Source organism: Homo sapiens, chromosome 17 (assembly GCF_000001405.40).
Source record: "Homo sapiens chromosome 17, GRCh38.p14 Primary Assembly".
Classification (NCBI taxonomy): domain Eukaryota; kingdom Metazoa; phylum Chordata; class Mammalia; order Primates; family Hominidae; genus Homo; species Homo sapiens.
In genome coordinates, this window is record NC_000017.11 from 34,569,002 (window position 1) to 34,590,132 (window position 21,131).

At 52.9% G+C, this 21,131-nt stretch overlaps 1 protein-coding gene and 1 long non-coding RNA gene across 2 annotated transcripts in view, besides 2 other annotated features; one reads left to right on the forward strand and one right to left on the reverse strand.

The window, feature by feature from the left end:
• Positions 1-5,121: 5,121 nt before the first annotated feature.
• Positions 5,122-10,368, reverse strand: TMEM132E-DT (TMEM132E divergent transcript). Its single transcript, NR_160787.1, has 2 exons — positions 9,870-10,368; positions 5,122-8,619 (listed from the first exon to the last, which is right to left on the reverse strand). It is a non-coding gene; the product is annotated as a TMEM132E divergent transcript (long non-coding RNA).
• Positions 9,533-10,069: an enhancer, noted in NCBI's record as "H3K4me1 hESC enhancer chr17:32905553-32906089 (GRCh37/hg19 assembly coordinates)". NCBI's record gives its function as "activates a minimal SCP1, AML or CMV promoter by ChIP-STARR-seq in naive H9 embryonic stem cells {active_cell/tissue: H9 hESC(naive)}" and the evidence as "EXISTENCE:reporter gene assay evidence [ECO:0000049][PMID:30033119]".
• Positions 10,070-10,605: an enhancer, noted in NCBI's record as "H3K4me1 hESC enhancer chr17:32906090-32906625 (GRCh37/hg19 assembly coordinates)". NCBI's record gives its function as "activates a minimal SCP1, AML or CMV promoter by ChIP-STARR-seq in naive H9 embryonic stem cells {active_cell/tissue: H9 hESC(naive)}" and the evidence as "EXISTENCE:reporter gene assay evidence [ECO:0000049][PMID:30033119]".
• Positions 10,581-21,131, forward strand: part of TMEM132E (transmembrane protein 132E) — a 59,737-nt gene continuing 49,186 nt past the window's right edge. The window contains exon 1 of the mRNA NM_001304438.2: positions 10,581-12,142. Coding sequence (NP_001291367.1) covers positions 12,076-12,142 — 67 coding nt within the window. The 5' untranslated portion in view covers positions 10,581-12,075. The remainder of the gene's footprint in view (positions 12,143-21,131) is intronic.

Below are 21,131 nucleotides of genomic sequence, written 5' to 3' on the forward strand. Positions count from 1 at the left end.
GGAAGCATACTGAAGACAACCTGGCGACCTAGATTGTAGGGGCAGGGGCCAGGACTCACCCCCAAGACAACTCCAGGTTTAAAAATTAGAATCTATTATCCCAGAAGCAACAGAAGAGGTTCCTTGAACGCCCCCACCTCCGAAGAGCTGCTTCTGAGCTGGCACTGTTTCCTATGGGGTTATTTTTAGTTTGTTTTCCCAGTAATTATTCTTTTGGGTGGATTTCAGGGTTGTAGCTGGGTGCTCTCTGGGAGATGGGCGCGGTATCCATACAAAAAAAAAAAGAGGGTTGTTATTCATAGTAATTCAACTGGATTTGTAAAGTTGTTATTAAGCATTTGTCGCCACAAAAGTCACTTTGATTTGGCTTTCCTTGGAGCCGTTCTTTCTGCCCAATTTTGCTTCCTTGTCTTACAAGGGAGGCCTAGAGTATTTAAGAGGCCTATCCAGAACACACAGAAAGAAACAGAGATGACTCTTCGCAGGAAGAGAAAACAAATCCTCTGAGGCTTGCATCTCAGAGGAAGAACATGATGTGGATAACAATGATAGCAAACGTGCACAGAGCACTTACCACGAGCCAGTCACTGCTCCAAAGTGCTTTGCAACTTTACAAGGTAGGTGCTATTAATATCTCCATTTTACAGATGAGGAATAGGCACAGAAAGGTTAAGTAAGTTGTCCAATGTCACATAGTTAGTAGATAGCCAAGTTGGTATTTGAACTCAGGCAGCCTGGCTCTGGAACTTGGCTTCAGAACCACCCAATGACAGCTCCTGGTGACCATCTGAGAGTATCTGAGAGACAGATGGTGAGATGGAAACGAGGACAGGGCCCCCGTGAGACCAGGGTTAATTTTTGTGTTCTGTTCTGCAAGCCTAGAACATTACTTCACTTGGCCTGGGGAGGGAAGGGGGATTTCCAAGTGAGGAAAACACTCTGCAGGTACCCCCAGAATCCCCTTGAGGATCCCCTGCTGATGGATGTTGATGCGGACACAAGAATTCCCAGGAAGATCAGCCTCAGAGGGCATTTATAATCAGATGTGCTGTGAGCTGGTGAATTAAACACAGGCTTTAAAAACAAATAGACTTGAGATCAAATCCCAGCTCTGCCAGTTTCTAGCTACATAACCTTGAACAAGTGACTTTCCCTCTCGGAGGTTCAGTCAGCTTCCTCTCTAAGTGTAGATAATATTTACACACCACTCAAGATGATAGAGAAGCTTCAAAGAGGCTTTGGATAGAAAGTAACTGAGAGTGCAGGGCTGTGGTATCTGAACTACTGCCTCTTTTGCCATACATTCGTTTGTTCAGTAAATGTCTAGGAACATTTACCCCATGTGTGCCGCTGTGTTCAATGTTATGGAAGATTTAAAGATGAACAAAATGTAATCTGTGTCCCTCTATTAATCAATTATTGCATTGCTATAAAGAAGTACCTGAGGTAATTTATAAAGAAAAGAGGTTTAATTGGCTTCTGGCTCTGCAGGCTACACAGGAAGCATGGCACTGCCATCTGCTTCTGGTGAGGGCCTCAGAAAGCTTCCAATCATGGAGGAAGGCAAAAGGGAGGGGCTGGCATCACATGGTGAGAGCATGAGCAAGAGAGAGAAGTGGGAGGTGCCACACTCTTAAACAATCAGATCTCATGTAACTCAGATCTCGCAAGAACTCACTCATGATCTCAAAGACAGCAACAAGCTATTCATGAGGGATCCACCCCCCATGACCCCTCCCACCAGGCCCCACCTCCAACACTGGGGATTATATTTCAACATGAGATTTGAGGGGACAAACATCCAAACCACATTAGTCCCTACAGATTTTATACGTGAATGAGAGGAAGGCTAAACAAAGATCAGATGGATTCTAACAATGAGGCAGACAGTGATTGATTCCACCTGGGGTGGATGAAAGAGCCTTTACAGAAGGGCCCCAAGAAGAGATGGGGAAGGAGGAACAGGCATTCCAGCAGAGCAAAAGGGAACCACGGCAGAGAAAGGCATGACTTTTTGGGGAAGAATGGCTAAAAGTGGGGAGGGTGGGCTGGAAAATATGTGTCAAACCCTAAATGTAAATCTGGGGAATTTGGGATTAATCCTGTGGGCATTGTGGAGCCATAGACGGGTTTTTAGCAAGAGGAAGACGTAAGTGAGCTGAGAATCAGATTTGGGAGGTAGGGTGGGAACCTAAAGCAGGATTCCCATCTTAAAGGATCTGGAAAGAGAACCTGGGTTTTGATCTCAACTCTGAAATGGGCTCCTGTGTGAAATCAGGCAAGATACCCACTGCTGTGGGCCTCACATTCCCCCTGTAATGCTCACAGGTTACCAGGATGGCCTCTAATGGCCCATCTGGCCATATGTCTATGATGTGAGGGCTTCCCCTCTTCAGAGTAGACCCGGCTTCCTCTGCAGTCCTCAGCATGCCTGGCTCCTTCTCTCACCCTCCCAGCAGGCCCAATTGGCCCTCCTGCCCAGTTCAGGAATCCTGGGCACTGCCAACCCCAGGAGCCAGGCAGAGCTGGCTCAACAACTCTGGGAGGTCACGGGCAGCTGATCAGGAGGCCATGGAGAGAAGTTGGGCCCCCGGCTCTTCCTCTCCCACTTGTACCTGGCAGCCAAGTTGGCCAACAAACAAGAAGTTGAGGAGCTTGTAACCACATCAGAGTTCGCTGCCGTTTGGCTGCTGGGCTGTGGCAAAGAAAGTGTCCTTGCTCTCTTCGTCTCTGTATTTCCGTCTCTGGCTCTTGCTCTCTTCGTCTCTGTATTTCCGTCTCTGGCTCTTGCTCTCTTTCTCTGGCTCGCATTAGGCAAGTGCTTTGCCCTGGAATTAAATGAAGCTGTATGGGGGTGGGGAGGAAAAGAGAGGGAGGGGACAGCGGAGCCCAGCCTGCATGGCTCAAGTCCAAATCCTCCCTTGGCTGGGTGCCCAGGGTGGTCCTAGCTTACTGTCCACGTGGGCCAGAGGGAGGAAGAGAAAGGGGACAGCTAGAGTCAGGGCTGGCCACGGGGTGGGGGATGGAGGAAGTGTGATGCCTGAAGAGGAACTAAAGGTAGAGATTCTAGGGAAATGGGAGTAAAAAGATCTGTAAGCAGCCAGTACAGAAGGTAACCCATTTTGCAGAGAGTTGAGCTGCCCAAATAATGTTGGGCATTAATGTGGGGTCGGGGTCAGGGACTGTGCACAAATGTGTGGGGTCGGGGTTAGGGACTGTGCACAAACACACTGATAAAATGTTTCATAAGCCTCCCAGTGTCTTTGGCCCCAAACGTGTGAAGTCGTATAACTGAGTATAGTAACCACGAGCGTGCATGTCACCACAGACAGGTATCTTTGGGCACAGAGGCGATGGGCCTGCTTCCTCTCCAGCCCCTTTCCTAGCTTTGCCCCAGCTCTCAAATGCCCCAGCCATGCAGAAACACTCACTGTCTCCTGATCACACCATGTCCTCCCTGAATCCAGGCTTTAAAATGTTATTTTCTGTTCTTGAAGCAGCCTCCTCCCCTCCCTTTCTTCTCCCCACTTCCCCAAACCAGCTTGTCCTTCCCTTAGTGTAGCTCAAAGTCACCTCCTTCAAGAAGCTTTCTCATATCCTGCAGCACTCATGTCCTAGGCTGAACTAGATGCCCCTCGTTCCTGCCCCAGGGCTCCTGTGCTTCCTTCCAGGGCAGCACCCACTGCCACTGTGCATCATAATCCTATGTGTCTGCCCACTTCCCTCTCCCACACAATGGCAAACTCCTTGAGGGCAGAGGCCATCTCATTCATCTAGCATAGCTCCAAACACACAGTAGGTGATTAATAATTCACTTAGTCAATAGCCATTAACTGAATACTCAACAGACATCAGGCAAGGGGCACATAACAAGGGTCAACGCAGATAGTGCCTGCCTTCCTGGGTCTCCCCTTTATGGGAGGAGACAGGCAAATCAAGGCGATCTGAAAGCTGCTTAGATGTGGGAGACGCACGGCCCTGCAGGTGAACTGAATAGGGATGGGGGTGTGGGCAGTGTCAGGGAAGGTTTCAAAGAGGAAGAAATGTCCAAGGTGAGGCTGAATGACTGGATGAGTACATAAATGCAACTGCTAGAACTGGAGTCCAAGGTCTGGGTCAGTCTAGCATCCACACTGCATCAGGGATAAATCCCTGAAATAATTATCCAAGGAGCCTCATTCTCTCTAGGAAAGAAAAGATGGGTTTCCATGTCTGAGGCAGGGCTGAGCCAGGCAGTGAAAGTTTGGGAATGGGCACACCGTGCGGCAGGGAGCCAGGCATATCCTTACATGGGGTTATATTCCTGTCTGTGCCAGTAACTGGCTGTGTGGACTTGGACCTGTCACTAGCTCTCTCTGGGCCTTGGGTTTCTTATCTATAAAAATAGGAAGGGGGTGGATTCTGAGCAATAATCTTAATGAGAACATGACCCCATTGCAGGGGGGATTTACTGTATAGTGATGACTAGGCACTCAAGGTGCAGAGAAAAACTAAACAGAAGGAAATGTGGTCAGAACTTGAACCCTGCCTGATTCCAAAATCTCTGTTTGTTCTTTTTTTCCATGAGGCCATATAACCATTTCACAATGTGTCTGAGAACTTTATAAAGAAGACCCCTGAGCTGAAACGTGAAGATGGGCACGATTTTAATTGGTGGGGAAAAACACAAAGGAAGCTGGGTACAGCAGGAACAAAGGTGGGGAGGGAAGAATGAGCCTGGCATGAAGAGGAGCATCCCTCGTGATGGTGGCGGCAGGGAGTTCGGCTTGGCCTGGCTGGGGCAGAGGAGTCATGTTGGGGAATGGTAGGAGATGCAGATGTCTCTGTCCTTCAGGACTTGGTGGTGGGAAGTGGTGGGAGGAATCAGGGCTCTGGGGTCCCAGCCCAAGCCCTACCAGTCAGGATGAGGCTGACATGGCAGGTGGAGGAACTCCAGCCTCCACAAGGAAAAGGGCATAGTAAGAGTTGGGACTGCCAAGAGAAGCATCAGGGGCATGGGCTGTGGGCTCCCAGGCTCTGGAAGATCATGGAAGTGAGGTGCCAGGCAGGGCCCTTATGGGAACACAGACCCAAGACCCAATTATCGGGACTGGGTAAAATCAAAGACCCAGTTACTGAAGTAAGTGAATATGGATAAATAATCCAGTCAGTTTATTTTGTTAAGCACATATGCCAGGCACCATTCTGGGCACTGGGGATACGTTGGTGAATGGTTCATACAGAATCTTGGCCCTTGGGGAGCTTACATTCTATCAGAAGAGACAGATAGATACACAGGCAATTCTAAAATAAAATACCAACTGCTATGAATCCAATTAAAGTAGCATAAAAGAATAAAGCAATGGAGGTAGAACAATAGTTGCATTATTTTATATCAGCTCATCATATATCTCGGAAGGTATCTCTGAGGAAGTGGCAGTTGGGCAAAAACCTGAATGAAGTAAAGGAGCAAGGGGTTAGGGGAAAACATTCCAGGTGGAGGGAACAACAGGTACAAAGGCCCTGAGGCAGGAATGTGCTTGATATATGACTGCTGGGCGGCCTTTGTGGTGCCAGTGTAATAAAATAGAAGGGAGAAGGGGGAAGGGGGAAGAAATGAATTTGGAAAAGCAGCTAGGGGTCAAATCACATAGGCCCATAGACCTCAGTGAGCAGTTTGGTTTCAATAATAGCAATGGTTAACCTTTACAGAGCATGCAGTGGTGCTCAGTACTGTCAGGTAATCAGTATGCATTTACTAGTATTTTAAAAGTGCCTGCTTGGGGGAGTTGATATGATTATCTCCATTCAACAGATGAAGAAACTGAGACTCAGAGAGGTGCAGTGGTTTAAAAGAAGATGGCTGTAGAGTGAGTGATGGGGCCAGAATGTTAGGGTGTCCATATGTTCCAGTTTGCCCTAAATGGTCCATTTAAGACTGCTGCTCCAAAGTAATTTTTAGCCCATTTATGCCTAGTGTTCCATTATTGGAATGCTAAGCATGTGGGAATTATTTATATCCTACCGCTCCAGGTCATTGCCAAGATCTGATTGCAAAACTTCAAAAAATTGCAACCTCAGGCATAAATGGGTTAACAGAACCCCTTTTTACTCTCAAATATATCTTCTACCTCCAAAATTCATACGTTGAAGTTCCAACCCCAAGTAACTCAGCATACAACAATCTTTGGAGCTAACGTCTTTAAAGAGGTGAGTAAGTTAAAATGAACCATTTTCATGGGGCCCAAATCCAATATGACTAGCGTCCTTATAAGAAGAGGAAGATAAACCATGATTCATGAACACAGAAAAATGACCGTATGTGAAAACATAGCAAGAAGGTGTCCATCTTCTAGCTAAGGAAAGAGTCCTAAGGGGAAACCAACCCTGCCAGCACGCTGATCTTGGACTCCAGCCTCCAGAACGGTGAGAAAAAAAAACTTCTGTCGTTTAAGCCATTTGGTCTGTAGTATTTTGTCACAGCAGCATGAGCAAACTAATACAGTTGCCTTGCCTTCTAGGACTGGAACCCAGGTCTCTGCTTGGGAAAGCCACATGCTGGCCATCATGCTGCCCTTCACTGCTGACATTCTCCTGTCCCACAAATAGCTATTGGTGCTGGAATCTAAGCTGGGAGCTCAGCCTACAGGGGAAGGCAAAGCAGCCCAGCTGCAGGGTGAAAGTTCGACAATTGCTACAATAGCCACGTGTATGCATAACTGTGTACTAAATGGGGTGAATGTCTAACAGCATGTAGGTGTGAATCTGGGTGCTGGGGAAGGGGAACAAGAGGCTGAGCTACTCAGAACAGTACTGCAGAAAGAACACTACTTTCTCATCAGAGGTGCCTGTGTTCCCAGAGCCCCTGTGCTGGCCTCCTTCACACACTGCCCTCCCCGTGTTGAACAGCCTATTTATGCCTGGTACCCCACTGCCCCTAAACATGTCCACCCAGAAATGATAGCTTTGCTATATATGAAATCCTGGGCCCTTGCATATCACAGTGAAAGTGGCTAAATGGGTTACGTATCTGAGCTTTGGAATCACATATATGTGCTTTTGAGCTGTGACTCTGCTACTTTATAGCTCTATGACCCTAGGCAAGAAACTTGCCTTCACTGAGCCTCAGTTTTCTCATCTGGAAAATGGTTATAATAACAGTACCTACGTAACAGCGTTGTAGTGAGGACTCAGATAATGCATGCAAAATGCTGGGCACAGTGACTGGCACGTAAAAAGCATGGATTCATTAACATTAGTCATTAATATTACTAGGTTCTCTATATGGGTTGGTGAAAGCTCTTGAACTTCTGCCATCTGGGCCTTTCTGTCTTGTTCAACCTATGCATTCCAGTACAGAAGCATTCCATAATACTTCACACACAATTAGAGCTCAATAAAAATTTCAAAGGATTTCATAAAATGACTGAATTAACAGGCCTCCGTTTTTGCAGCTGTAAAATGAGAGGGCTAGCTTAGGAAATCTCGGAACCCCCTTGAGCTGAGACAGAGTCGGATTCCAGGATGATCCCAGGAACATGTCTTCATGATGCTCCACATTGGCTCATCTGATTGTCTCCTGATGGTAGACATTCTGAAAAACAGAGGCATGCTGAAGGACAGATGTCACCTGGCCTATCATGAGGGCAGGTCAGGCATGGGAGGAAGTGGGTGCCAGTTTATGTATGGGTCCTTGATAAGCATCCATGTAGGGCACCGGGGCCTGGGACAGAACCCCACTTGCTGCCTGGCTTCTTGGCAGGAGGACAGGGTTCTTCCAGGCATCACCTGGGAACTGGTGACTGAGATAACCTCCAACCATTGCCAATCCTCTGTCCAGAAGACACAAACAGAATGGAAACAGCAGAGACACTACCACCTTAAGTTGATAAGGTGCTCATCTGGGATAGAAGAGTACACACATGCCAGGTCCTCTCTCCAGCCCGGGCTCCAGTTGGGGTGGCTCCTCTGACTTCCCCTTATCTAAGCTCCAGTGGCATTGCTGTTTGGGAATCCGTAACTAGGACTAACAGGTGAGACCGAGGGCAGTCTGCTGGGGTAGTAGGAAAGGCAGAGGGAATGTATAGAACCCCTTTCCAGGTAAATGACATGCAGGATTGGAATAGCTGAAACAACTGGCTGTCTACCTTGTGCCAACTGCCTTCTCTCTGAGCAGTAGGATTTACACTGCTGAGAATGACAGGTCCATGGAGCACTGCAGGTTGTAGTCATATTTTATTCTCCAGGTGGGCTATCGGCTGCCCTTCACTTCCCTGAGGCAAGGAGGAGGAAAATCTGGCATTTGGAGAGTCAGAGGATCATCAGGCCCATGGACTTGGCACAAGGCTTCAATCCAGGAAGGGTAGATCCATATCGGAGGTACAGGAAGAACTTGAGGCTGAAACTGTGTTCTCTAAAGATAGCAGGCTGCTCCCTCGCCCTTTCCAACCACAGGCCTCAGTCTTCTCCATAAGATGAGCGAAGTGCATGATGCCAAATCACACCACAATTGCAAGCAATTAGAAGCTTAGTGTCTGCCTTCCCCTCTAGAAAGTTAGTTCCATGAGGACAAGAGCTGGTTTTGTCCTGCTCACTGTTGTACCTACAATGCCTGTGATGTTGGAGATATGCACCATACTACTGTGAAAGGGAGGGACAGAGACAGGGAGGGAGGAGGAGAAACTGAATCACAAAGGAAGGTCACATAAGAGCTATGGGGTGGGGTGAGATGGGGTTGCAGAGAGAAGAATTCTATGTCTGAGTCCCTGCCCACCCTGACCAGAACACTGTGCTATTTCCACAGATGGCTGGGAGAGATGCAACATTGCTGCCCCTCAGACCCTAGCGTCAACTGGGAACATTTGAGGAGAAAGGAAATTTGATCCACAACACAGGGTAAGGTGTGTCTTGGGCTCAGAAAAGCACCTTGTCTCTTCCTTCTGGCCATGCTCAGGCTCCATGACCCTTCTGATGGGGTGCTGGGCAGGGATGGAGGGCCCTCCCTGCTTCCTTCCTCCTCTTCCTGAAGCCCTCCTCTGCCTCAGGAGGTGGATCTTTCCCCCTTTCTCCCCCACACAGAGCCTGATTGCTAGCTTGCTTCTCAGGGGGTTGGTGAATAAGCCCTTGGGTGACATTAATTGCCATCAGGCATTAGGGGCCTAATGAGAATAATCTTCTTTGACGACTCCAGCACCTTCTATCCCCAGGGCCTCCAAGAGCTGGCCAGCTCTCCTCAGGCTGCACCTCCCCCCAGCTCCAGACAGATGTAGGGGTGGGGGAAGGGCCAGAGCAGCCCTCTACAGGCCCCAGTACCAAGCGAGGCAGCAACAGCCAGCAGCCAGGGAGGAGGAAGCCTTCCATGAAAAATGCAAGCACATTTTCCAAAAACAAAATGTCACCGTCCTAGATGAAAGGAAACTCTCAGGGTCAAGAGGGCTAGCATGGAGTCAGGCAGATGGAGGGCACGGTTTGAGTGCCCCAGCTGGCTTTGCTCTGACCTGGCCCCACACTCTCACTCCAGTTGAGTGCAGAGGTATGGAAGGGTGACCCTCAAGATCCATATCCTCCCCAGTAGGGATATGTCCATGGGATTGAAGACCCTGTCCCTCCAGAGCAGGGTAGGATTGAAATTCACCCTCTGGGGATTGGAGTTGATACCCAACGAAGCTATAAAATCATTGCCATGGATCCGATGCCTGGTTGACAGATGAGGTGTGAAGGTTGACTTGCCGGGTCTGATCTAGGTTGCACTCTAATGGAAAGGGCCTGATGGTGGGAACAGATATCACTCCAGCCACCCCTCCCGCTAGTCAGCAGGTGCCTGGGTGAGTATGCAAGAGGGGCAGTTCCCCACCCCCACCTCATGCCTCTTTAAAGGCTTGCTAAACAACCTGTAGGAAAGCACTGTCCCCTCCTCTTCTCCGTCTTCCTTCCCCAGCAACAGAATAAATAGGTTTCCCACAGCTGCGCCCCGGACCCATCCCGCACGAAGCTGAGCCCCAGAGCCCCCGCGGCCCGAGAGGAGCTGGGCACAGCAGCGAGGCTGATTCCCAGCCAGTGCCCAGCGAACTCTGGGGGTGGGGGTAGGGTGCCCCCTACCCGCGCCTCTGGAAGAGCGGCTGCAAAACACCTCCGGCGCCCGGTGGGGAGCGTGCATCCTTTGAAAAGGGACATCAGTGACTGCGGTGGCGTCTACCCTGGAGAAACGCAGCTGAGGGAGGTGGAGGCTCCTCCCGCCGCAGCTGGCCGGCCCCATTCGGGTCCCAGCGCTAGCCGGCGTTGGGAAGGAAAAATCAAACATAAAATAGGGGCGAGCGGAATCGCGAGGTCGGCCCTTGGCCCGAGTCTCATTAAGGAGCCGCGCGCGCCGCCAGGCTAGGAATGCGGAATGGACACGTGGACAGAGGAGGGGGAGCTAGGAGTCGGGGAGTCTCCGTGGCGCGCGAGCTGTGGGCCGCGCGCTCGGGGGCCACGTGACCACGGGGAATCTGGGAGGGGTGGGAGTGAGCGCGCCAAGCTCGGCGCCCGCTTCTGCCCGGGTGGGCGCTGAATCCCGGACGGAGGAGGAGGGCGGGCGAGCGCGAGTGTGTGTGTCTCTCTCGAGTCATTTACGGCGGAGCAGCCGGCGCGAGCGCCGAGGAGGCGGCGACGGCGGCGGCGGCTGCTTCGTGCAACTGTGGCTTCCCCCACCTCCTCTTCCTTTTTGCTCCTCGATTCTTCTTCTTCCCCCACACACGTCCATGGGGAGCCGGCTCCCCTGCCAGCACCTCCTCTCCTCTCGGCCCCGTAGGCACCAGCTGCCGCTTCCCTGGCCGCAAGCTGCGCAGGTGCCGGCTGCCCTGGCCCCTGGCGCCGCGCCCGCGTCTCACCGCCCGCAGCCCGGACTGGCGCGGCGATCCGCTCGCCCAAACTGACTCGGAGGGAGCGGGAGCCGATGCCCGGCAGCATCGAGACAGCGGGCGAACGGGCGTCCGGGGACAGGGTGGGGGCGGCGGGGAGGAGGCGTCGGAGACTCTGAACCCCAGAAAAGTTCAAGGTTTGTGCAGGTTCCCCCAGGGAAGGCGAGGAGCGAGGCGGGGCAGCGCGCCTCTCTGCCGAGACAGCGAGACCTTAGCGGGGTGGCCCGGAGCTGCCGTGAGCTGCAGGAGCCCCTCTGCATCTTACAGCGTTTATGGTCATCAAGCTGGAGTCGACGTCCTGGGCAGGAAGGGCTCGGGGCAGGGCGCATTAGCCGGCTTTCTCGCTCCCTCGCTTCTCCAAGCCCCATCTACATGGGGCAGCCCGTTCTGGCCGCGCCACCCTTGCCCCAGCCGCCGAGCGGCTGCCTGGGCAGGAGGCGCTGAGCCGGCCTGTGTGGAGCCTGGGCCCTGATCCAGACTGGAGAAAGCGCGCTGGAGCGGAGGAGCGAGCCTTGCGAGGGGACAAACATCTGGCCGCCCGCCTCGGGCATCCGGTCTGGGCGTCGCCTAGGGTGGTGGCGACCGGCGTCGCCAGTTTCAGCACCGCACGGAAACTTTTCCTTCTCCAGATGGATTAAAGTTGTCTGGATTTTCTCTTTCTTTGAGAAAGACAGCATTCATTTGCACCTGACCTGGGATTTTTATGCTGGGCTGCTGCAGGGGCTTGGAGGAAGAAAGCGGCGCTATCCATGTGCGGTTACTACCGAAACCGAGGAAACTGGGGATTGCGTTGGAAGTCGGCACCCTCGAGTGAGTTCGGATTCGAGCTGGGCCGTGAGGCCGGGAGATTCAGCACTGGGCTCTAGGTAGCCCCCGGGACGCCCGCGGCCACCGGGCTCCGGACTGCACGTGCAGCTCCCCCCGCGCCTCGCAGATCCTGCAGGGGGCACCAGCTGGGGGAGGTGGAGGCTCCTCCCGCCCGGAGCTGCGCCCCCACCGGCTCCGAGGGTGTAGCCGCCAGCGCCTGGGACGCCCCCTCCCCGCAAAGTGTCCCCGAATTGCACTCTCTGGTCCCGGAGCTGCATCTGAGACAGCCGGGCGCCACGGCAGCCCTGAGTTGGATGTGACCAAGCCCAGCCTGGGGCCAAGTCGTCGTCGACTGTTGCTCTCTCGGACCCCTCCCGCCCCCGCCTCGGCCATGGCCCCGGGGATGTCGGGCCGCGGCGGCGCCGCCCTGCTCTGCCTCTCAGCGCTACTCGCCCACGGTAAGTGTCGCGGCGCGGACTGGGGGTGAGGATGCGGCAGGCGCCACTGGAGGGGGTACGGGGAAGACTGGGGAGAGGAGCACCCACACCCCCTGGACTCGCAGCCGCCACTCCGGGTTTGGCGTCTCTGGCTGCAGCTCGAGTTACCGCCAGCCCCCGAGCCCTCCGGCGAGCTCAGCTGAGGGGACCGAGCCCGGCGCCAGAAAAGGGTGGGGGGAGGGTGTCGCTCCAGTCCTCTCCTGGTTATAAAGAAGGGTTCGAACCCGAAGGTCTGGGGTCGTGTCCGCCCACGGAAATCTAGAGGGATCCGAGGGATCCTCCGGATCGCGTCCAGGCCGCCCCCCGCCCCCGTCTCTCCCTGCAGCCGGCCGGGCTGGGGGCTGTTGGGATCCGCCGGGATCGCGTCTTTCCTCGCCCCGGGCGCGCAGGCCGGTGCGGGGCCGCGCCGCCCGTCGCCTCGCTTCCTGCGGCGGTCCTCGGGAAGGGAAGTGGACTGACTCCGGGCCGGGGAGCCGCCGCGGCTCGCACGCCCGCGGTCCTGTGAGCTGCATCTAAATGGCCGGCTTAGGCGAGCCCGGAGGGCGGGGGTCTGGGCACCCGCACAGGCCGGGGCGGTGGGCCGCGGGCCGCGCGCGGAGGGAGCGGGCTCCGCGCTCTCGCATTCTGCAATCTGTTGCGTCTGCTCCCCAGGCTCGCCCCGGGCTCCGCGGTAAAGGGGGTGGGAGAAGGAGGGATTGAGGTTGGCGCGCTTTGGCGGTGGGACAGCGGGCATACGGGTGGGGGGCAGCGGGTTTTTGAACAGCCCCCAAGAATGGGAAATCAGACCAGAGGGAAGGAGGCTGCAGCGGGCCTTCCGCAAGCTGGAGACGCTCCAGGAGGCGAGGGGAGCAGACCGAGGTGGGAGGGAGAGAGCTCCGAAAGGAGAGTGGAGAAGCGGGGCCCTCTGCTCCCTCCTAACGTGAAACCAGCCGACCTGGGATACATTTTCTTAACCAGCAAGGCGTGGCGGGGTTGGGGGGCGGGGGTGTTTCGATGCTCCACGCTGAGGGGTGAGCCTCAGGCAGAATGGAGGGCGCTTAGATGGAGGGGGCAGTGGGCTCTCCGCATTGGTGGAGCGCCCTCGGTGTGCCGGGCTCAGCTCTTGCCCAGATCTGCCCAGTCCCTAAGAGCCTGCTCAAGCTCGCCAGGAGTGTGCCCAAGGTCTCTAACCAGCGGCCTCTTTCACCCTGACCAAAGCGCATTCTCAAGGTTGAGAGAATAAGAAAAAGAGGGGCTCTCGGAATCGTAGGGTCCTGGGGCTAGGAGGGGGGCGGGGAGCAGGCAGACCTCCCTCTATGGGTGGCTTGGTTATTCCCGGCTGAGGTAACACCAGGGGGGGTTGTTTTGCGTTCAGTTCACCAGAGACAGCTAACCTCAGTTCTCTATGGGAGGAATAGGCAGAGCAGCGAGCCAGCAGGGGGGCGAGGGTGAGGTGGGGCGAAGTGGGAGCATAGCGGGGAACCAGAAATCTCTAGGCTCTGTGTGCAACACTGAGAATGAAGGTGGGGGAGAGGGAGGTGGGCTGCCTGTCTGCGCACTGGAGCTGCATGGGCTGCACTTGTGACCTAGCACTGGCCGGCAGGGAGTTTCCCTGCCCAGTAGGAGGAAGCCCAGAAACCCAGGCCTGAGTCTAGGTGGGTTCTTCCCCTCTTCTTACATCTTGCTGTCGGAGTTCCCTTCCCAAAGCCCAACCATGGCGTCACCTCAAACGCTGATGATGGGCAGCTCAAACTCTGTCATTAGGGTCCCTCTGCCCACCTTCCCGATCCCTGAGCCTGGAATTAAAGATCCCTTTCCCTTCCTCACCTGCCAGAATCCTGCCTGTTCCTAAGACGCAGTTCCAGCTGGGCCTTAGCGTCCTGGCTGCCTTCCCTTGGTCTTGGCCTTGGCCTCCTTTTTTCCTTAGGCACCAGTGCCCTCTCTGTGCCCCAGTAGTCCTGGATTGGTGGAGGCAGAGCCATGGGCTTATTCCCTGTCTCTCCACACAGCCAGTGCCTAACACAGTGACAGCACACCTAGGGCAGAGGGCTTGGCTGCCTGAGCAGAAAGAAGGTATTTGAGGAGGTAGGGTCTGAATCGCCCTACTGAGCGGACATTTCCCCTCCTGACTATCTGGCTTCCTTTCCAACCTCCTTCCCTGAGTCCTGAACTCTCTTCTCCATCGCATGTCTCAGTCTCCCCTGCCTCAGAGAAGGGTGCCAGCAGATACTTAAAACTTGGGGGATCCCCCAGATGGGTAAGGCCAGTATGATAGAAATCCCCCCACAATAAAACCCCATCTTGCCTGGGCTGCCCTCCTCCTCCAGGGCTGCCTGACACCCACGTAGCCACCCCTTCCCTCTGTTAAGAATAGGGTCCGGGGACTTAGTCTCCCTTTAAACTGACTCTTGGTTGGGGTTCCGGGGCTTTTCTAAAATGCTGGGAGATAGAGGGACAGTTGCAGTTTTCTGTGCCTGGCAGGCAATTGAGGTCACAGGGTTCTGACCACACAGCCAGACTGGGAGCCAAGTAGCCTGGGTTTCAGTCTGACTCTGGCGCCACCGGGCAGGGTGACCTTGGGCTGCCTCCCTCACATTCCCCATCTTCCACAGGCAGCGTGGTCTCTGGCCTTTCTTTCCCCTTTCCAGTTTCTGCCAGGACTCCTGGACAGAGACCATGTGTGAATGGAGCCTTACTACCTTTTCAGGGCCCAGTTCAGCCCATGAGATAGGCAGAGTGGTGTGTTTGGGCACCTCTACACTGTTCCCAGTCTCCAGCCCTCTTCCAGGGAACATCTGTGAAGGCCACTTTCTTGTATCTAATATTTGGGGAGACTCCCAGCCCCACTGTTAGTTTGAATAGGAGTTTAGGGGTCAGCGTGGTGGATAAATCTGTTAGAGGGCTGATTATGTCAGCTCACTACTCAGGAACAATTACTGGTTCCCCACAGCCTCTAGGATCAAGGGCACACTCATTGCCCTGGCATCCAAAGCCATTTATGATCTTGTCCAAATCCACATCTTTACTTCAAAGATACTGGCCTCTCGCCATCCTCCGTGTGCCCTATGAGGTATTGCTTTTCTCACTTTCCTGCCTTTCTGCTTTTGCACCCACCAGCCCCTCCATCTGGAATACTTTGCCTCCAGAAATTCTTACTTAACCTTCAAAGCGGAGTTCAAATGTCACCTCCTCCAGGGAGCCTCCGTAGATTACCCCCTAGCTTCTCACCAGCAGTCCCCATACCCTGATAGAAATAAATGAACTTTTTCCATGACTTCTTTGGTACTTCATGCTACTTTTCTAGCACTTTTTCCTCATAGGCTGCTGTGTGAGGGGTATACATGGGCATGCTTACCTGTGCAATCCTCCTGATCCCCACGTTCTTGCATTTAGGGCAGGAGCCATGTCTTCTATGTGTTTGCATGGCTCTCCAGTGTTTGACACATAGCAGGTGCTCAGAAGAAATGGATGGGGTAGGAGGACAACTCTGTATTGAGGGACCCTCCCAGCATCAGTTGAAAAGGGAGCTCTGGGGTAGAGGGCAGAAGAGGGGCAGGGGAGGAGACAGGCAGAGATACCACAAAGAGAGCAAGAGGATGGAGCAGGCCCATGCCATGCCCCTTGAGTGGGCACATACAAGACCCATGTGTCTCCGGTGACATGTTATGACATGGTCTCACAGGATACAAATGTAGTGTCCAGGGTCATTCTGAATACATGGTCTCAAAACGTGTCCTCACCTCCATGATCCCCAGCCCAGCAACCTTGAGTTTCTCCTGCGGGTTGTGTCCACACCCCTACCCCATCCCCCGATCACCCAAGCCCTGAGCCCTTTTGGAGATGCAGGAGGAACACAGCAGGACAGGGTAAGCACCAGCCCTTGGGAGACCCCTTTATTGCCGGGCGTGAGGGATGATGCTTGCTTCGCCTCTCCCACACCCATCTTTCTTCTGGCCACATGCAGCCGTATTCACAACATAGCCTTGTTAATGTTTAAGACCAGTAGGTGGGGATGTGTTATAAACTTGGTGGCAGGAAATGAGCTTTATTGGAATCCATTCTGAGGACGGCTGGTGCTTCGCTGTGGGAGATAAGGCCACTGTGGAATACCAGAGCTGGACTTGGGTGTCTCCTAGGCCCTTGCCGGGGGCCTGTCTGGAACTGACAGACCCTGGACTTGAGATTGGTAGTGAGTGCTGGCGATGCTGCAGAAACTGAAACCCTGAGAGGCACCAACTCCCACCACTGGGGTCTGGCCCACCTACCTGGAGCAGGGGAGTGTGTAGTAGCGGGCAGGGTCTCACCTTGTTGCCCTGCACATAATGATGTCCAAAACACTGAAAGAGGAACCACCAAATCCAACCTCATGTGGATGAGGAAATGGACACACAGGGAAGGGACTGGCCAAGCTCACTCTGCAAGTTTGTTCTGGAATCAGAACAAGCACCAGAGCCCAAATGGGGCTGTCTGCCCCAGACTCCTCAACAGATTCCATCACCTCTACTATCCCCTCTCTCTGCAGCTTCTTCCAGTGATGGGCTTCTAGCCTCAAGCCAGCCTCTGGTTGCAAGCAGTCATGATAATCAATTACTAGTAGCATTCATTAATAAACCTTACCAAGTGCTATGAAAGAAATGTGAGGGATTCCAGACCTGACCTCCAGCTCTTTCAGTAGCTCAAAGTCCAACTGGGGGGAATGAGACAAAGGTCCAAAGTCTTGAAATTCAAAGCAGTTTGAAATCACACAGTCCTCAGGATACAGGATATCTGGGTTCAAACCCTGACTTTGTCATCAGTTTGCTGTGTAGCCACAGGAATTTCACCTACTTCTCTGGGTCTTGTTTTCTTGCTCTCCCAAATGTGAGGGGGCGGTGCCCTCCAAGCCCCCTCCCAACTCTTTTGTTCTATGATGAAGAAGCCCCTTCTTACCTCCCTCATCTTTCTCTGTCAGAGCACACGCCTCTCTCCCCAAGCACACGCCTCTCTCCCCTGATTCCTGCAGCCGATGCTAACAAGTGGAAGAATCGTATTCTTCCTCCCCGTTTCCTCCCCAGGGTCTTCCTTACTTCTTCCTTGCCCATGCTCAACACAGAATTTTAATAAGAGATTAATGAACCAGTTGTGTGTGTGTGTGTGTGTGTTTTTAGGAACATAAATTTCTTTAAAATTTTTCCTTCTCTGTCTTCTTAAATGAAAAGAAAAGTAGGCCTTCTTATCACCAATTCAGCTGGCTCTGCCATACTCCAGCAGTCCCCAAGGATGGGACAGTGTATCACAGAGCACCAACACTCAGCTAGCTACTGCACGGGTCTCTGGGGGACAAATGCACTGCCCAGAGAAAGGGGGGACTGAGACAAGTGAGCCAATGTTGCAACAAGTGGGGGGGGACAAGCAAGCCATTAGAGTGGTCTCAGCACCCACAGTCCGAGTCCAGGCATCATTATCTCCTTTCTGCTGTGTCATTTGACCCTTTCAGCTCCCCACCACCACCACTTCCCACCCACTCTCTGCCATACACACTTCCATCCCAGGCCCTGCTGGCTAGCAGACAACCCAGCAAGATGAAGTGGAAAATGGAAGCAGTTACCTAGATAATTCAATGCTTGTTGCACGAATGAATGAGTGCAAGGATGAATAATTCAATGCAAAAAAAAAAAGGGAAGTAGAAAAGATAATTGAAGAAAATCTCTTTTTGCCTAAATTATCTAGGACATTACCTGCCCTCAAAAAGTTCTGCTTTTTATCAAACTGTAATCCTTCCTGCTGCATTCTCACCCACACTTTTTTTGGCCTGTGAGAATGAGCAGCTGGTTATTCTCTTCTCTTACATGACTTTTTTTGTTCAGTTCAAACTGACGGCAGTGGGCAGGATGTGTGCTTGCTGGCAGAACTTCTCAGATTTTCTGTTTCCCTGGGCCTATCTTTCACGACCACTGGAGCTGGAGAATGAGGTTACCAGGATGGATAGGATGACTCCTAAAATGGTCCAGGTTCTCAGCAGCATCTCCATCCAAGAATTCCCAGAACTGAACATCAGACCCCACGGGGCCCTGGCCCTGAGAGAACAGGCAGCTAGGATACCCCACCTTACTCCTAAACCCCTCCCCAGGAACACAGCCCTGGAGCTGGCCAACCCTTAAACAGAATTAGTCACAGTCACAGAGCGGCAACCTCTCTCTTTTTCTGAAGAAGAAAAGCTGTGGCAGTGGGGGGGAATGGTTCTTGCACTTGGGGAGCACCCAGTATAACAAGGGAGGCAAATTTCCATCTTCAGAGAGGCCCCAATAAGATGAGGGAGGCACAGCTCCAGATCTCAGGGGTAGCCTTTATTCCTTGCGTGGTGAGGGTCTGATAGTGACTGATGACCACTTTGCCCAGAGACTGAGGACCCCACAACCTTCTCAGCCCCTCCTGGTCTCTCCTTCCCTACCTCAGCCCCCAGGGTTTTGGGGGAGCCTGGCTCTGGTCCAGAAGCCAGTGTATTTTTAGTAGCTTGGTACAGGTGATGCAGCGGCCTTGTCATGGTGGAAGAATGGTGTTGGTGGGAGGTAGGAGCACAGGTGCACACTCATGTGCACACCCACTCAGTCACGGCCACACACTGCTAAGCTTGAGCATTCTAACTCTTCTGCAGTTCAGATCCATGATGGCTTTGTTTGTCACATTGGCTGCTATGTGAAGGCAGCACTGTGATCCCCTTTTTATGCAAGGCAAAGCTGAGGCTCAACAGAGTCCTGGCTGCACTGGCTTTTGAAGTCATGACCCTGCCTTCGGAGGTCTTCTTGCCATACCTCTCTGTCTCCTGCCAACAGAATCAGCACAGATGCAGGCAGCCAGCCATGCGGGCCCTTATACCTGAGTGAGTCCTGCCGGGTGCTGTCAGGGCCCACTGACCCTCCAGTTTCCTCTGAGCCTTTCTCTTCCCTTGCCCTCCATGCTTCTTTCAGTCCCTCGAATAAGTCATGCTCTTTTGCATGTCACAGTCTTTGTGCATGCTGTTCCCTCTGACCAGAACACTCACACTCTTCCACTCCATTGCCTACTCAGCTGTCAGGGCAGAGCATATCCACCACTTCTTCCTGGAAGCCCATCCCTATTCTAAGAACAAGGACCCACTACCCACTGCAACTCATTGCAGATTTGCCGTGGTTTTAATTCTGCATTGCCTGGCTTCCTGCTGGCCAAAAGCTCAAATAGACCTGGAACGTGTGTGATCTTTTCTCTGCCTCTGTATTCCCAGAGTCTGTCTGGGAGGTGATGTCTGGAATAAACTAGGCAACTGATGACTTGTCAAATGAATCAATGAATGAATCATTGTGCACATACAGGCACACAGAGACGTTGTCACTCAACAAGTATTCAGTTAGCGCTTACTACGTGCCAAGCACTGTTCTAGGCATTTGGTTGTAGTCAGCGCACACAACAAAAATCCCTGCATTCATGGTGGGTATGTTTGTCAGAGGAGGGATGCACAATATACATTCTTATGTATATTGTGGGTGGGGAAGGCAGACAGTAAATAATAAATTCATTGAATAAGTGAATTATATATGTTCAAAGGCAACGAGTGGTTTTTGTTGTTTTGCTGTTGTTTTTCTGAGACGGAGTCTCACTCTGTCACCCTGGTTGTCACCCAGGCTGGAGTGCAGTGGTGCCATCTCGGCTCACTGCAACCACTGTCTCCTGGGTTCAAGTGATTCTCCTGCCTCAGCCTCCCGAGTAGCTGAGACTGCAGGTGTGCACCACCACACCTGGCTAATTTTTGTGTTTTTGGTAGAGATGGGGTTTCACCATGTTGGCCAGGCTGGTCTCGAACTCCTGACTTCAGGTGATCCACCCACCTTGGCCTCCCAAAGTGCTGGGATTACAGGCAAGTGCTATTTATTTTAAAGGCAGGGAAGCAGGGTGAGGGGAATTGGGAAATCTGAGGTGGGTGTGTATGTCAGGGGAGGGATGCGTAGCATTAATACCAATGATCAGTTGATAGAATGTCCTTTGGCAAAGACGTTAAGGAGGTAAGAGAGAAACTAAGTGAATATCTGAGAGCCTTCGGGGTGGAGGGACCAGTCAGGATAAGAGCCCTAGGAGGAGTGGGCTTGACCATTCAAAGAACAGCAAGGAGGCCAGCGGGGCAGAGCACCTGGACGGACCAGGAGGGAGGGGAAAGGGCCAGGGGCGCCCTTGTAGTCACAGTGACTGGCAGGCTGAGGGAAATAGGGAGCTGTCATGATGGAGGCCACATGCCGGCTGTTCTCATCTGCCCAGGGCATATGGGATGCTAAGCAACCTTCAGTGTATTTCACAGATTTGGATTTTCTTACTAATTACCTGCCTTTACAAAAAATCAGTTCAGGGGCAGGGATTACATGCACTTGTTTGGCCTGTCTGATCTTACACCACTCTGATTTGGGGAGTGCAATAGTGGCAGGTGTGGGGGTCCTTGTGTTCAGGGACTGCAAAGTCAACTTCTTCTGAGTCCCTGAGCACCCCGCAAAGGCCCTGGGTTACCTGTTGCTCTGACCTTACTGCCTGTTGCCGTTCTATGTCTGCAAATGCCTTAGTTGGTAGTCCCTCCACCCACAACCGGAGCCCTGCCACCGCATGACGGCTGCAGCCCACCCTCCTAGCCAAGGAGGTGACCTGCCCCAGGATGACCACATTGTCCCCTGCCCTGTCTCTACTGGAGAGAGGCTGGCTTATGGGGTCTTTTTTCCAAAAGCAAGGAACTATTGGATTGGAAATAGGAAAAATGGCCATTTTCTCAGCTGCCAACACAGCAGAGAAATGATCTCAATTTTCTATGGCTGTACTCGGCAGGATAAAAACTGCCATCAGCCAGCCCCATGCATGAGAGGTCTGAAATGCTGTGGGAGGTGGTGGGGTGAGAGGCAAGGGTACTGGCATGGTGCAGAGGGCTGGGCTCCATCCTGGGGCATTGCCAGCCCTCCTGCCTGGGAAGTTCGCCCCCACC